The sequence below is a fragment of the Homo sapiens genome, chromosome 9 (assembly GCF_000001405.40).
Source record: "Homo sapiens chromosome 9, GRCh38.p14 Primary Assembly".
NCBI lineage: Eukaryota > Metazoa > Chordata > Mammalia > Primates > Hominidae > Homo > Homo sapiens.
In genome coordinates this window covers 79,824,274-79,840,382 of record NC_000009.12, presented here as the reverse complement: position 1 = coordinate 79,840,382, position 16,109 = coordinate 79,824,274, and the positions used below count along the sequence as shown (strand labels likewise).

Genomic DNA, 16,109 nt, shown 5'->3' with positions numbered 1-16,109 from the left:
GACCACAGCACATTAAAAACTTAAATTAATACTAAGAAGATCTCTCAAACCATACAATTAAATAGAAATTAAACAGCTTGCTTCTGAATGACTTTTGGGTAAAGAATAAAATGAAGGCAAAAATCAAAATTTTCCTTTTTTGTATGTTGTATCAAAGCAAAGATACACATACAAGAATCTCTGAGACACAGCTAAACAGTGTTAAGAGGAAAGTTTATAGCACTAAATGCCTACATCAAGAAATTAGAAAGATTTCAAATTAACAAGGTAACATCACACTTTTGAAGAATTAGAGAAAAAAGAGCAAACTAATTCCAAAGTTACCAAAAGAAAAGAAATAACCAATATCAGAGCTGAACTGGATGAAATTGAGGTGGGAAAAGCCATACAGAAGATCAATTAAACCAACAATTTATTGAAAGAATAAATAAGATTGGTATACCACTAGCTAATGAAAAAAAGAAGATCCGAATAAACACAACCAGAAATGACAAAGATGACATTGCCACTGACCCCACGAAAATATAAAAAAAATCAGAGATTCTTATGAATACATCTATGCATGCAAACTAGAAAACCTACAAGAAATGAAGAAATTCCTGGAAACATATAAGATCCCAAGGTTGAACCAGGAAGAAATTGAAACTCTGAACACACCAATAACAAGTTCCAAAATTGAATCAGTAATAAAAAGCCTGCCAACCACAGAAAACCCTGCACCAGACAGATTCACAACTAAATTCTATCACATGTATAAAGAGCAGGTACCAGCCCTACTGAAACTATTCCGAAAAAATGAAAATAAGGGACTTCTCCCTATCTCATTCTACAATGATAGCATTATTCTGATACCAAAACCTTGCAGAGTCACAGTGAAAAAAATAAAACATCCAGCCAATATCCCTGATGAACATAGATGCAAAAATCCTCAACAAAGTATTAGTACACCCAATCCAACAACATATCAAAAAGCCAATTTACCACAAACAGGCAAGATTTATTCCTAAGATACAAGTTTTTTTCAACATATGCGAATCAACACATGTGATTCATCACATAAACCTAACTAAAAACAAAAAACATATGATCATCTCAATAGATGCAGAAAAGGCTTTCTACAAAATTCAACATCCCTTCATGTTAAAAAAAAAAATCCCCAACAAACTAGGCATTGAAAGAATATACCTCAAAATAATAAAAGCCATTTCTGACAAACCCACAGCCAACATCATAGAGAGCAGACAAAAATTGGAAGTGTTCCCCTTGAGAACCAGAACAAGAGAAGAATGCCCACTCTCACCATTTCTATTCAACGTAGTACTGAAAGTCTTAGCCACAGCAATCAGGCAAGAAAAAGAAATATAAGGCATCCAAATAGGAAGAGAAGAAGTCAAACTATCTTTCTTCACAGATTATATGATTCTATACCTAGAAAACCCCATAGTTCTGCTCAAAAGCTCCAAGAATAAAGAACTTTAGAAAGTTTCAGGATACAAAATCAATTCTATACAGTAGTTACATCCAAGTTGACTGCCAAGTCAAGAATGCAACCACATTCACAATAGATACAAAAATAATAACATGGCTAGGAATACAGCCAACTAGGGAGGTGAAAGATCTCTGCAATGAGAATTATAAAACACTGCTGAAAGAAATCAGAGATGACACAAACAAATGGAAAAATGTGCCATGGTCATGGATAGGAAGAATCAATATTGCTAAAATGCCTTATTGCCCAAAGTGATTTACAGATTCAGTGCTATTTCTATCAAACTACCAATGTCATTTTTGACAGAACTAGAAAAACTATTCTAAACTTTATATGTTATTAAGTAAGAGACTTAATACCCAAAGCCATCCTAAGCAAAAAGAACAAAGCCAGAGGCATCAGATAACCCAACCTCAAAATATACTACAAGGCTACAGTAACCAAAATGGCATGGTACTGGTACAAAAACAGACACATAGACCAGTGGAACAGCATACAGAACCCAGAAATAAAGATGCATATCGACAACCATCTGATCTTTGACAAAGTCATCAAAAACAAGCAATAAAGAAATGACTCCCTATTTAATAAATGGTGCTGGGATAACTGGTTAGTCATATGCAAAAGATTAATATTGTACCCCTTCCTTTTGCCATATACAAAAATCAACTCGAGGGAATAAAGACTTAAATGTGAGACCTAAAACTATAAAAACTCTAAAAGAAAACCTAGGGAATATCATTTTGGACATAGGCCTTGGCAAAGATTTCATGATGGAGATGCTGTAAGCAATTGCAAAAACCAACAATTGACAAATGGAACTTAATTAAACTAAAGAGCTTCTGTACAGCAAAAGAAGCCAAGAATAAACAGACAGCTACAGAATGGGAGAAAATGTTTGCTAACTATGCATCTGAGAAAGGTCTAGTATCTGGAAACTATTAGGAATTTATGCAAATTGACAGGTTAAAAAAAAAAAAACAAAAACCCAAACAACTCCTTTAAAAAATGGGCAAAGGACATGAACACTTCTTTTAAAAAGACATGCATGTGACTAACAAGCCTATGAAAAAATGCTCAGCATAAATGCAAATCAAAACCACAATGAGATATCATCTCACACCAGTCAGAATGGCTATTATGAAAAAACAAACAAACAAAAAAACAAAATCAGAAAATAACAGATGTTTGTGAGGTTGCAGAGAAAAGGGAACACTTATACATTGCTGGTGGGAATGTAAATTAGTGCAGCCACTGTGGAAAGCTGTTTGGAGGCTTCTCAAAGAACTTGGCGCTACCATTCAATTCAGCAATCCCTTTACTGGGTATATACCCAAAGGAATATAAATCATTCTACCAAAGAACACATGCACACATATGTTCACTGCAGGGCTATTCACAATGGCAAAACATGGACTCAGCCTAGATGTCCATCAACAGTGAACTTGATAAAGAAAATGTCATACATTTATACCATGGAATACTACACAGCCATAAAAATTAATGAGATCATGTCCTTTTCAGCAACATAAATGTAGCTGGAGGCCATCATGCTAAACAAATTAATGCAGGAACAGAAAACCAAATACTGCATGTTCTCATTTATATTATTATATTAGTGAGAGCTAAACATTGATTACACATGGACACAAAGAAGGGAAAAATAGGCACTGGGGTCTATCAGAGGGTGGAGAGTAGGAGGAGGGTGAGGATCAAAAAATTACCTGTCAGATACTATTCTTATGGCCTAGCTGACAAAATAATCTGTACACTAAATGCCTGCAACATGAAATTTACCCGTGTAAAAAACTTGCACATGTACCCCTTGAGTCTCAAATAAAAGTTGGAAAAAAAGAATCCTATCAAAAAAAAATAGACATTGAGGACTGCTAGAGAGATAAGTGAGGGAGGGGGAAAAGTGCTGAAAAATTACCTATTGGGGTACTATGCTTGCCACCTGGGTGACAGGGTAATTTATACCCCAAACCTCAGCATCACACAATATACCCATGTAACAAACCTGCATATGTACCCCTTAATCTAAAATAAAAGTTGAAATTATAAAACGAAAAATAGTGCTGAAATTAAGAAACCCTGCTCTAGGATACTTGAAGGCCTAAATCATGACTTGCTCATCATTGTATCTCCAGAATGGTGTCTGGCAATAGACGGAATTAGATAAATCATTTAAGAGGACCAAAGGCAGTAAGTACTCTATAGAATATCATCATTTAGGGAGGTTTATTGAAAAGAACATGCACTTTCACCTCATCTGATTTTTACGTCATTCACAACATGCTCTTTCTATTCCAATTCTTTAAATGTTAGTGACCCTGAGAATTTTCTCATTGGCCTTTTCTTTTCTTGTATCCTCTTATTTCCTCTTTTCCTATTCTTTTTGGAGTCTCATGCTCATAGACTTCCTAAATAATCTCTTCCAATTGTATAACTCACTATGTATATTAGAAGACCACAAAGTTCTATTTTCAGCTCAGACATCTCTCTAGGGCTCTAGTATTACCTATTCACATGTGAACGCTCACAGTCTCCTTTCTGTACAGGATCCCTATACACACCACTCATGATGAACACAAGACATACAAATCAGATCTCCCTCCCAATTCCCTGTTTCACAGATGAATGACCAAAAACCCTGTTTGTTGCCCAACACCTGGACTCTTCTCTGACCTCTCAACCCCATTTTCAATCCTTACCATGTGTTGTAAACTCTACTTCTTAAACAGACTAAATTGATGATGAATTTATACCTTGTCTTCAGCTTGACCCCTAGAAACACATTTCTTACCTGGATCCTGTCCACTGTCTCTTATCTTGCCTTCATGTTTCCATTTTTGCCTCTTCCAGTCCCTTCTTAGAGTTACCTCCTTGATCTTTCTATAAATACATATCCCTCTCTATCTTAAAATTCTAAGATTTAAGTATATCGATAAAATCTAAACTTCCTAGCTCTAAAATGCAAGACAACTTATGATTTTTTCAGCTCACCTTTATAAATCTTTTCCTTCTTCACTCTGAGTTTTTTTTTTCTTTCTTTCTTTTTTTTTTTTTTTTGCCACCTTCCATCCCACCCACAACACTCTGAGTTTCCTTCAATGCTTCTATGCACATGCTGTTCCCACTGTCTGAAACACCCTCCCCCTCACAGTCACCTAGTTAGTGGAGAAAGCTTGCTGTTTTCCTTACTATTTGTGATGGTCCATTTCCTGTGTCAACTTGGCTAGACTGTAGAATCTAGTTATTCAAACACTAATCTAGGTGTTGCTGTGAAGTATTTTGTAGATTGGATTAATGTCTATAATTAGTTGGCTTTACAGGAGGAAAATTATCCTGGATAATCTGGGTGAGCTTCATCCAAGCAGTTGAAGGCCTTAAGAGCAAAACTGAAGTTTCCCTGAGGAAGCAAAAACTTCCCCTGTGAACTGCATCAGCCGCTGGTTGAGATTTTCAGTTTGCCCTTCCTGATGATCCACCCTACAGATTCTTGATTAGCCTAGTCAGTCCCCACAATCACATAAATCTCACTCTACACACACACACACACACACACACACACACACACACACACACACACGCAATATACATTCTACTGGTTCTGTTTCTCTGTTGAAACCCTGGCTGATATACTACTCATGCCTCTCAATCTGACATTCTGCACACAGGAGGAAGCATTATAATAAACAGTTAGGCTTGCTTTCTCTCTTGCCGTCTCTCTCTCTCTCTCCCCCCTAACTGTTCCCCAAGCTCACTCTTTTCCAAGGAAGAAGTAGTGACTATGGTAAACAATTTAAATAGCCAGGGCTGGTATTCAAAGCCTCATGCTGTTTTACTAATGAGTGGAGTTACTCTGTCTTGTAACGGGAAACAAGACTGGCATTCTGCTCAAGCATGTACACCTGAGTGGGATGCTTCTGTGGTTTAGATAGGATTCGTGTGATCCCTGCCAAGTCTCGTGTTGAAATTTGATCCTCAGTGTTGGAGATGGGGGCTAATGGGAGGTGTTTGTGTCTTGGGGGTAGAATCCCTCATGAATAGCTTGGTGCCATTCTCATGGAAATGAATGAGTTCTTGCTTGATTAGTTCTTATGAGAACTGATGGTTAAAAAGAGCTTGGTACCTCCCTCCCTCCCCTCTCTCACTTCCTCTTTTACCATGTGATCTGCATATGCCAGGTCTCCTTCACCTTCCACCATGAATGGAAGCAGCCTAAAGCCTAAAGCTCTCACCAGAAGCAGATGCTGGCACTATATTTCTTGTACAGTCTGCAGAACTGTGAATTAAATAAACCTTTTTTCTTTATAAGTTCCCTAGCCTCAGGTATTCCTTTGTGACAACACAAATGGGCTAAGACAGAAGATTGGTAGCAAGGAGTGGAATGTTGCTGTAAAGATACCTGAAAATGTGGAGCAGCTTCAGAACTGAATAATGGGCAGAGGTTGGAAAAGTTTGGAGGGCTTATGAAAAGAAAGACAAGGGAAAGTGAAATTTCTTAGAGATTGGTTAAGTGCTTGTAAGTAAAATGTTGATAGAGATATGGACAGTGAAGGCCAGGCTGACAAAGTCTCAGATGGAAATGAGGAACTTATTGGGAACTGGAGCCAAGGCCACTCTTGTTACATTGTAGCAAAGAACTTGGCCACATTGTGTTCATGCCCAAGAGCTTTGTGGAAGGCAAGTTTATCAATCTTAATATCAGCCTTTCACAAAGGCTAGAGTGTACAACATGTTCACTTAGACTCAATTGGAACAATTTTCCTTCATGAAGTTCAACATACTGCCATATGCTCCTACCTGAGCCTTACATAAAGCCAAAGCTTCCTCGCCTGAGCCACTGCTGAGAACTTTCTTGTTCTGAATCCTGACAAGTGAAGACCTCTGCCTGCCATGTGCTTCTGCTCCCAAACTTGCAGTGACTGTGGATTTCTTCAGCTCCTTCTGGCTGACATAACCTCCCCAAACCTGTGACTCAGTGGTCCCTGAGAAATAATGAACCTAAAAGCTTTTCCTTTTCTCAGTTTTCTGGAACAAGAAATGTCTAAGCAGCAAAGCATTCAAGAAATGTCATAGCTGCTTTTAGCAGCTTATGATCAGTTATGGGAGCAAAGAAATGACCTAAAGTTGGAATTTATAATTAAAGAGTAAACAGAGTGTAAACATTTGGAACAACTTGCTAGAGAGATTAGCAAGAATAAAATGGAGGCTGACGCCTGTAATCCCAGCACTTTGGGAGGCCAAGGCAGGCGGATCACGAAGTCAGGAGATCGAGACCATCCTGGCTAACACGGTGAAACCCCATCTCTACTAAAAATACAAAAAATTAGCCAGGTGTGGTGAAAGAAAAGAAAGACAAGGGAAAGTGAAAAGCTGTAGTCCCAACTACTTGGGAGGCTGAGGCAGGAGAATGGCGTGAACCCGAGTGGCAGAGCTTGCAGTGAGCCAAGATCGTGCCACTGCACTCCAGAGCCTGGGCAACAGAGCAAGACTACGTCTCAAAAAAAAAAAAAAAAAAAAAAAAAGGGAGCCAGGTGCTAACAGTCAAGACAATAAGGAAAAGGCTCTGAAGGCACTTCAGAAATCTTTGAGGCTACCCTTTCCATTATAATCCCAGAGGTCTAGGAGGGCAGAACAGTTTTGGGGAACTGGTCCAGGGTGTCACTGCCCTGTGCCACTTCAGGATGCTGCTCCCTATCTCCCTGCCACTCCAGCTCCAGCCACAGCTCAAAAGGACCCCAGGTACTGTACAGGCTGCTGCTCCAGAAGGCATAAGCCATAAGCCTTGGAAGCTTCCATATGGTGTTAAATCTGCAGGCTCCCAGAATTCAAGAGTGATGGAGGCTTGGCAGCTTCTACCTAGATTTCAGAGGATATATAGAAAACTCTGGGTGCCCAGGTAGAAGCCTGATGCAGGAGCCCATGCAGAGAACCTCTACTAAGGCAATGCCAAGGAGAAATATAGAGTTGGAGCTCCCACAGAGAATGCCCTCCAGAGCCCTGCCTAGTGGAGCTGTGAAGAGGGCTGCCATGCTCCAGACCCCGGAATGATAGAACCACTAGCAGCATGCACCCTCAACCTAGAAGCTGCAGGCACCAGACTACAACCCATGAGAGCAGCCACATGGGCTGCACCCAGCAAAGCCATGGGGCTGTGGATGCCCAACACCTTGGGAGCCCACCGCTGACACCAGTGTGCCCAGGATATGGGACATGGAGTCAAAGGAGATTATTTTGGAGCTTCAAGAATTAATTTCTTGGCTGGGCACAATGGCTCATGCCTGTAATCCCAACACTTTGGGAAACTGTGATTGGATAACTGCTTGAGACCAGGAGTTCAAAACCAGCCTGGGCAACATAGTGAGACCCCATTTGTACAAATGACTTTTTGTTGTTGTTCTTGTTGTTGTTTAATTTGCCAGGTGTGGTGATGCATGCCTGTGATCCCAGATACTCAGGAGGGTGAGGTGGGAGGGTTGCTCGAGCTTGGAGGTTGAGACTGCAGTGAGCCGTGATCATACCACTGCACTCTAGCCTTGGTCACAGAATAAGACCCTGCCTCAGAATAAAAGAAAAAACAAAAAAAGAAAAAGATTTAATGTCTGCCCTGCTGAGTTTCAGACTTGGGCAGGGCCTATTGCCCTTTTCTTTTGGCTGATTTCTCCTTCTTGAAATGGAAATGTTTACCCAATGTCTGTATCACCATTATATCTTGGAAGTAAATTACTTGTTTTTTATTTTACAGGCTCACAGCTTAAGAGACTTTCCTTGAGTTTCAGATGAAACTTTACACTTTGGACTTTTGAGTTGATGATAGAACAAGTTAAGACTTTTAAGGACTATTAGAATGGATGATTGTATTTTGCATGTGAGAAAAACATGAGATTTGGAAGACCAGGGGCAAAATCCTGTGGTTTGGGTATGATTTGTTTGGCCCCACCAAGTCTCATGTTGAAATTTGATCTCCAATATTGGAGGTGGGGCCTGATAGGAGGTGTTTGGTTTGTGGGTGCAGATCCCTCATGGATGGCTTGGTGCAGTTCTCAGGTAATGAGTGAGTGGTAGCTCTATTAGTACTTGTGAGAGCTGGTTGTTAGAAAGAGCCTGGCACCTCTCTCCCCTCTCTTGTTTCCTCTCTTGCCATATAATCTCTGCACACACCAGCTCCCCTTTGCCTTCCACCATGAGTAAAAGCTTCCTGAAGCCCTCACCAGGGACAGATGTTGGTCCCATGCTTTCTGTGCAATCTGCAGAACTAAGAGCCAAATCAACCTCTTTTCTTTATAAATTATTCAGCCTCAGGTATTCCTTTATAGCAATACAAACAGGCTAATACTGACACATATCTACATATCTGCATGGGACCCACAAACTGTCTTTTACAGGCAAGCTTTTAGTCCTTGTTTATGGAGCTATTTGGGACAAAGGACAAGACATTCATTTGACCACTTTTAGTAGAAGGCAGGATCTCCATGCCTCCAAAGCAGAAACTAAATGATCAGCTTCCTTTTTCACTCCCACATGCTCAAGAGAAGCATGAGCTTTTTTCTAGTTCCATTGGTTGTGGTGAGTGAGATGCAGGCCACACTCCTCTCTCTGTTCCAATTCTTCTGCTGCTTACAGTGTAGATCATTATGGCAGCTCTAGAATGACAAGGCCAAGGAATCTGGACTTAGCAATCATAGGCCCCAGCAATTGAGAATCATCTGCACCTGTGCCAGGGATCCTAATGCAGTTGGCCACAGGTGGAATTATAACTAAAAGGAACTCACTGTTTATTTGGAATCTCAAAATGAATAAGCAGGGATCTGGTCTGGAGCAGTGATAAAGACTTCTCATCTGGCATCAGTTAAGTTTTCTTGGACCATCTAATTTCTCCAGGAATTCAGGATCTCACAGAGCCTTTCACAGACTACAGCCCTAGAAAGAATAAGGCCTTAGGCCAGGCGCAGTGGCTAATGCGTGTAATCCCAGCTCTTTGGGAGGCTGAGGCAGGTGGATCAGCTGAGGTCAGGAGTTCAAGATTAGCCTGACAAACATGGAGAAACCCCATCTATATTAAAAAAATACAAAATTAGCTGGGTGTGGTGGTGCATGCCTGTAATCCCAGCTACTCGGGAGACTGAGGCAGGAGAATCATTTTAACCCGGGAGGAGGAGGTTGCGGTGAGCTGAGATCGCGCCATTGCACTCCAGCCTGGGGAACAAGAATGAAACTCTGAAGAAAAGGAAGGAAGGAAGGAAGGAAAGAGGGAAGGAGGGAGGGAGGGAAGGACGGAAGGAAGGAAGGAGAAAGAAAAAGGCCTTTAATAGAGTTAAAGAAGACTCATCTCAAGGGCCTAGAAACATCCAAATGTTGGAGAATTCAAATGGATGAGATGTTTGGAGAGTTGAGCATGTGAGAGGCAAGGTTACTTGCTTAGTTTTTCCCCTTAGTCCATTGCTATGGATTTAATGTATCAGGACATGGGTGGTTAAAGGGATTTTGTGCTGCCACTTGGGCAGCTAAATTTATTCAAAGCCTGGGGGAATTAAGAAAAAAATTGGAAAAAGGAAAAGCTTTTGGGGTTCTTATTTCTCAGGGACCACTGAATCACATGTTTTGGGGGTTATGTCAGCCAGAATGAGCTAAAGAAATCCACAGTTACTGCAAGTTTGAGAAAAGAAGCACATGGCAGGCAGAGGTCTTCACTTCTCAGGATTCGGAAAGAGAAAGTTCTCAGCAGCGGCGCAGGCGAAGGAAGCTTTGGCCTTATGTAAGGCTCGGGTAGGAGCATATGGCAGTATGTTGAACCTCATGATGGAAAATTTTTCCAATTGAGTTTAAGTGAACATGTTGTATACTCCAGACAGCTGGCATAGAGTAACTGGCACACAGGCAAATCCAAAGACAAGATGATTTTTCCCTTCGTACTTTTTTTTTCCTCTGTGCTACTTCCTCCACATAACACCACCAACTCTCTGCTTTGATCCATTGCTGGCTAAAGTAAGAGGGGAACATCGCTTCTATTTGTGAAATGCTTTTGCTGTGGAGATTATGTATAAATGGTGTTTGTATGGGTCTGATGCTCTGATCAATCATCTCATGAGTCAGGGTGACTTTTTGACCCTTTGGGAACCTGGGACACATTAGAGCTCTGGGGTTGGCTGAATCTACTCTTAGGAGGATATAGCAGCTGCAGCACTTCCCTAGAAATCAGAGCAGCCTGCAACAGCCAGGCAAGACTGACTCTGAGCAGAATGGGAGATGGAGGAGGAAGGTATTTTAGAATTATGCTTCTTTGGTTGACAAGGGAAAGGGGAGTTCCATTTTTATGTCACTTTTGAGCTCTAATTTCTTCTAGGACTTTAGTAAAGAGACAAGTTATCTAGTCTTGATATTGGGGAACCAATAGTGCATTATTTTGATCCAGTCCCTAATCTTGGATAAGCTATTTTGGTTAGTGTGCCTGGGTATTGGCCGAGGCATGAACTCAGCCTAAAATTCAGCTTGGCCTTTGAAATAAGTTAACATCTTTTTGTAACCCTTCTCTATTCTACTGGAGTGAAAACTGAACTGCATGGGTCTCTAGGGCCAGGACACGATCCTCAGAGTCTTGTCGGGTATTGGGCAGTGGCCCAGGAGAAGGAGCAGAGTGGCCCTGGTGCTGCTGACCCCTTCTCTCTGGGGACAGCTATGTCCTTGGCTGATCATATGCTTGACCATCAGTCCAAAAGTTTGAGAGAGAACAGAAAGCTGAGGAGAATTTGGGAACACCTGGCCATCTCTCGACCTGTCTGTGCTCATGCTGTCTCACTGTGCAGGGAAGTGTTGGCAGGAGAGATTCTGGTTTTTCTCCACTCACATCTTTATCCACTCACCCTTCAGGGATGGAGAGGAAGTCGCTAGCCTAATAGGTGAGAATTTGAGGCCCTCAGTTTGCCTCACAGCACTAGTGGTGCAGTTACTGGGCTCACGCTCCCGCCCCAGCGTCTGGGCCAAGGGAGTGAGATGGTGGGTACTGGGAGATGACAGGAGATGTCCATGTTCATGTTGAGGAATGTTCTATCCCAAACATTGTCTAGAAGTGTCAGAGCATGATGATAATATGAAGCAGAGGACTGTCATTACTACCACTGTCTTTAAATTCTCTCCAGACAATGCACCCCCTATTGCAGGCACGAGGACAGACCACACCCACTGCCCTTCCTGGGTGCACCACTGGGTAGAGGTCCCCAAGGCTTACCTCTCATACACTACATTATATTCCAGATTCACCCAGCCCTCTCTGTCTCTTTCTTGCCACCCTAGCTACCACCATCGTCTGTCTTCTCTTTTGGACTTTTTTTTTTTTTTTTGAGATGGAGTCTCACTCTGTCTCCCAGTCTGGAGTGCAATGGCGCCTTCTTGGCTCACTGCAACCTCTGCCTCCTGGGTTCAAGCAATTCTCCTACCTCAGCCTCTCGAGTAGCTGGGATCACAGGCATGCACCACCAGGCCTCGGTAATTTTTTTGTATTTTTAGTAGAGAAGGGATTTCACCATGTTGCCGAGGCTGGTCTCGAACTCCTGACCTCAGATGATCCGTCCGCCTCGGCTTCCCAAAGTGCTGGGATTACAGGCATGAGCCACCACGCCCAACCTCTTTTGGACTTCTATAAGATAAGTCCTCCTCATTGTCCTTCCTGCTTCCTATTTGCCCATTTCATTCCATTCTCCTCACAGCAAGTAGAGTGAGAATTCTAAACTTAACCCCTGCCCCCCGTAGTGTCCCATCACACTGAAAACCACATCCAGCATCTTTATGCCAGTCCTCAAAGCCCTGCTCATTCTAGTCCTCTGTTACCAAGTGGTCATGAGGCTTTAGCCATACTGGTTGCCTTGATCAGTTCAGGCTGATTAACAAAATACCACAGACTGTGTGGTTCAAACAATAGGCACTTATTTTCTCACAGTTCTGGAGCCTGGACGTCCAAGTCAAGGTGGCTGCAAGTTTAGTCTCCTCACATAATCTCCTCACTGTCTCCTCACAGTGTCTTTCCTCTGTGCACACACATCCCTGGGTCTCTTCCTATAGGGACACCAATTCTTTCGGATTAGGGCCCCACCTTTATGACCTCAGAAAGCTTTAATTACCATTTTAAAGGCCCTGTCTCCAAATACAGTCACATTGAAGATCAGGGCTTGAACATATGAATTTTGGGAGAACACTATTCAATCCCTAACGCTGGCTTCCTGCCCCCAGGACCTTCGGCCATGCTGTGCCCTCTGCTTGCAAGACCTCTCCAGGTCTTGGCATGGCCAGCTCTCTCTTGTCATCTAGCATTTAGCTTGAATGTCATATCTCTGGAGTGACCCTCTGGCCACTGATCTCAATATCCCCCAGCCACTTGCCATCACTTCGCCTGTTTTGATTCCACCACAGTACTTGCTCTCTCCTGCTATTGATCATATATCTGTGTGTTTGCTTGTTGCCTGCCTTCCTCCATCAAAATAAAAATTCTTTGAGAGCAAAGGCCTTGCCTGCCATGCCCACTGATCGCTACTGTGTTCCCAGAGGCACACAGCAGCTGCCTAACAAACATCTATTAAATGAATGAAATAAAATTGCCTTTGCCTTCAGAGTTAAACTGATACATTGATTCATAATGAGGTAAGTCAGACAGCTTTCCAAACTGAAAAATAAACTATCATTGGTGCCCAAAGAAGATCTTCCTCTGATCAAGTTAGCAGAGTGTAGCTCGAGGCCAAGTTGCAGGGCATTAGAAAGTTAAAACACTGGCAAAATTCTTGCTGAAGTGCCTTCCAAAACAAGTGAGATGGTTCACACCGCCATCAGGAAGGCACGCGTATGCTGGGTTCCCACCCTCTCACCAATGCCATGTGGGATCAAACTCATAAATATTTATCAATTTTATGAGTAAAATGATATCTTGTTTTAATTTTCATTTCTTTAGTGATGAGTAAGATTGTGTATCTTTTCATTTGCTCATTAACCCATTGTATTTTTTCCCTGCCACTTATCTTTTCCTTTACCTAGTTTTACATTTTTTAATTCATCGTTTACTTATTGCTTTGCTGGAACACTGTGAACCTAAAATAAAATGCCTTATTTATCAAACTAAAAATATATGCATACATTCTTTAAACCAGAAATTATACTTTTAGGCGGTTATCCTTTCATTGCTGTGAGATCAAGCAGTTGCACCTCAAGTGCATTCACTGGTATAATTTCTAGCAGGAGAGACCACTTCATTCCACATTGGTGCCCCACTCATAAGGCAAGATAGATTTGCCTTAGTGCACAAAAATACATCTGCACAAGGAAGTCCACCACAGTTTTGCTGTAGTAGCTGCAAAATAAAATCTGCCTAAATGTTCATCACCAGGGACTGGTTGCCAAAGGTGTTCCTGTTAATGAAACTGTTCACAGTGGTTAATAGTTACAGTAAGAGAAGAGGAAGCAAGTGAGAAAGAGATCTTAAGGATTCAAAGGGTTTTATGTTTTTTTACGACTTTTTTAGAGCAATTCTAGGTTCACAGCAAAATTGAGAGGAAGTTACAGAGATATCCAATATATCCCTTGCCCCCATAACGTGAATACAACCTCCCCCATTATGAGCATCCTCCACCAGAGTAGTACATGTGTTGTAACTGATGAATCTACAGTGACACATCACATCACCCAAAGTTCATAGTATACAACAGGGTTCGCTCTTGCTTTTATACATTTCATGGGCTTGAGCAAATGTATAATGACACATATTCATTATACATTTGTGTAATTACAGTATCCTGCAGAGTATTTTCACTACTTTAAAGTTCTCTGTGCATCACCTATGCAACCCTAACCCCCAACCCCAAACCCTCTGGCAACCACGGATCCTTCTACCGTCTTCATAGTTTCGTCTTTCCCAGAAAGTCATATAATTGGAACTATAAGGTATTGTTTCATTTTTAAAACAGGCCTTAAAGAAGCAAATCTCTTTCTGTCATCCCTCTAGCTCTCTGCAGATATTCAAAATTGCCAATAGCTGTCCAGAGTTTTCTCTATTACCTGTTTATTTGAAAACATGGAATACTTCTTTAAATTCTAGAATCAATCTTGACTCATTAAAAGGTATTAATTTTTGCATCAGGCCATTCTCTTGCCACTTATTAAGCCTAGCTGTGAGGGAGGCAGTGCATTAAGGCTTGTTGCCCTGCATGCAATATTACGCCACTAAAGGCACATTACAAGAATTCTATTTGCATTCAAGCATTTCCACACAAAGCAATGGCTCACATACAGTGTGAAAATTGAGTGTGCACCACTCTCAAAACTTGGAATTCTTGCCAGGGTTGAAGAGGCTTCCACTGGGGCTACCTGTTCTGAAAGTATTTTGCATCCAAGCCAACTGCTTTTTGGTAGCCCCCTCTCTGCAGTCCGGGTGTGCATCCCCAGAAAAGTATGCCTTATTGCATCTTCGGCACACTCCTCACACCCAGGACCTGTGCTCAAGCCACCAAACCATGCTGGTTCCTAAGAGCATCTCTGCAAACCAGATGTCTCTTTGTATGGTACATGCTGGGAGCATGAGTGGGGCACCAATGTGGAATGAAGTGGTCTCTCCTGCTGGAAATTATATCAGTGAATGCACTTGAAGTGCAACTGCTTGATCTCACAACAATGAAAGGATAAATGGACACAAATTTAGCTGCTTTTGATATGCTGAAGACAGGCCCCCATTTTTATTTATTTCTGAGGCTTAATGTTAACAAGAATAGAAAAGTGGAACTGTTATTACCACCCTGTGACTTTTGAGCTGGGCATGGTTTGGGGCATTGAAATTAGAGTAGCCTTGACTCATCTACTCCTCAACTCATTTCCAACACCGTTTTCCATTACACACTTTCAAATCTACTCGATTGAAGAGCCATCCACACATTCAACTGAAAAAGATTAAACTCCCCTGGTCTCCACACCTCTCCCTGATTTCCAAGCATTCAGGATAAGACTGCCATCCTGGGCCCCACATCACCACTGTCAGGAATAAAGAGAAAGGCTCAGAACACTCCCAGCAAGACTCCACCACTCACTGTCCTGGAACACTCCAAGCCTTCTCCTCAGTGCTTACATTGAGAACATCAAGGCAAATCTTGTTTTGCCATTCTCTCATGTACATCAAACTTCACAAGGAGCCTGCAGCTCCCAATCAACTCTGATCTTCCTGGACCCTTATTCTCAATTATCTCTATAGTCTCCCTTTTCTCATCCACTCTGCCACTCATCCCAAATACCTGAAACCAGTCCACACTGTCTTCTGGAAGTCATGCTCAATTGTTAGCTCCTCCTCACTTCTTCTCAGAACTTTTTTTCACTTCTCGCTGTAAATGGACAGACTCTCAGGAAACCACTTGCTTTTACCCAGCAGTCTGAAAGTGGTAGCTGTGGTATCTTGCAAGGTTCTCGTAATGCCAGATCTGGAGGTAGGGGCAGGTGTTCTGCTTTCATACTGCCACTGGAACATCCTTTTTCCCGCCACAAGAACAAACAACAACACAAAGTTCTGATCTTTTATTACCATGTGATTAGTCCTTACCAAGCACCATTTTAGCTTATTCCTGTTACCTACAGATCCACAGGTCACTCC

General features: G+C 41.8%; 1 long non-coding RNA gene across 1 annotated transcript in view, besides 1 other annotated feature; it reads right to left on the bottom strand.

Annotated features, from left to right (window-relative positions):
- Positions 1 to 15,853, bottom strand: part of LINC01507 (long intergenic non-protein coding RNA 1507) — a 210,026-nt gene extending 194,173 nt beyond the window's left edge. The window contains exon 1 of the long non-coding RNA NR_121213.1: positions 15,757 to 15,853. This is a non-coding gene — a long non-coding RNA (long intergenic non-protein coding RNA 1507). The remainder of the gene's footprint in view (positions 1 to 15,756) is intronic.
- Positions 5,137 to 5,767: an enhancer, noted in NCBI's record as "OCT4-NANOG hESC enhancer chr9:82449531-82450161 (GRCh37/hg19 assembly coordinates)". NCBI's record gives its function as "activates a minimal SCP1, AML or CMV promoter by ChIP-STARR-seq in naive H9 embryonic stem cells {active_cell/tissue: H9 hESC(naive)}" and the evidence as "EXISTENCE:reporter gene assay evidence [ECO:0000049][PMID:30033119]".
- Positions 15,854 to 16,109: the final 256 nt, after the last annotated feature.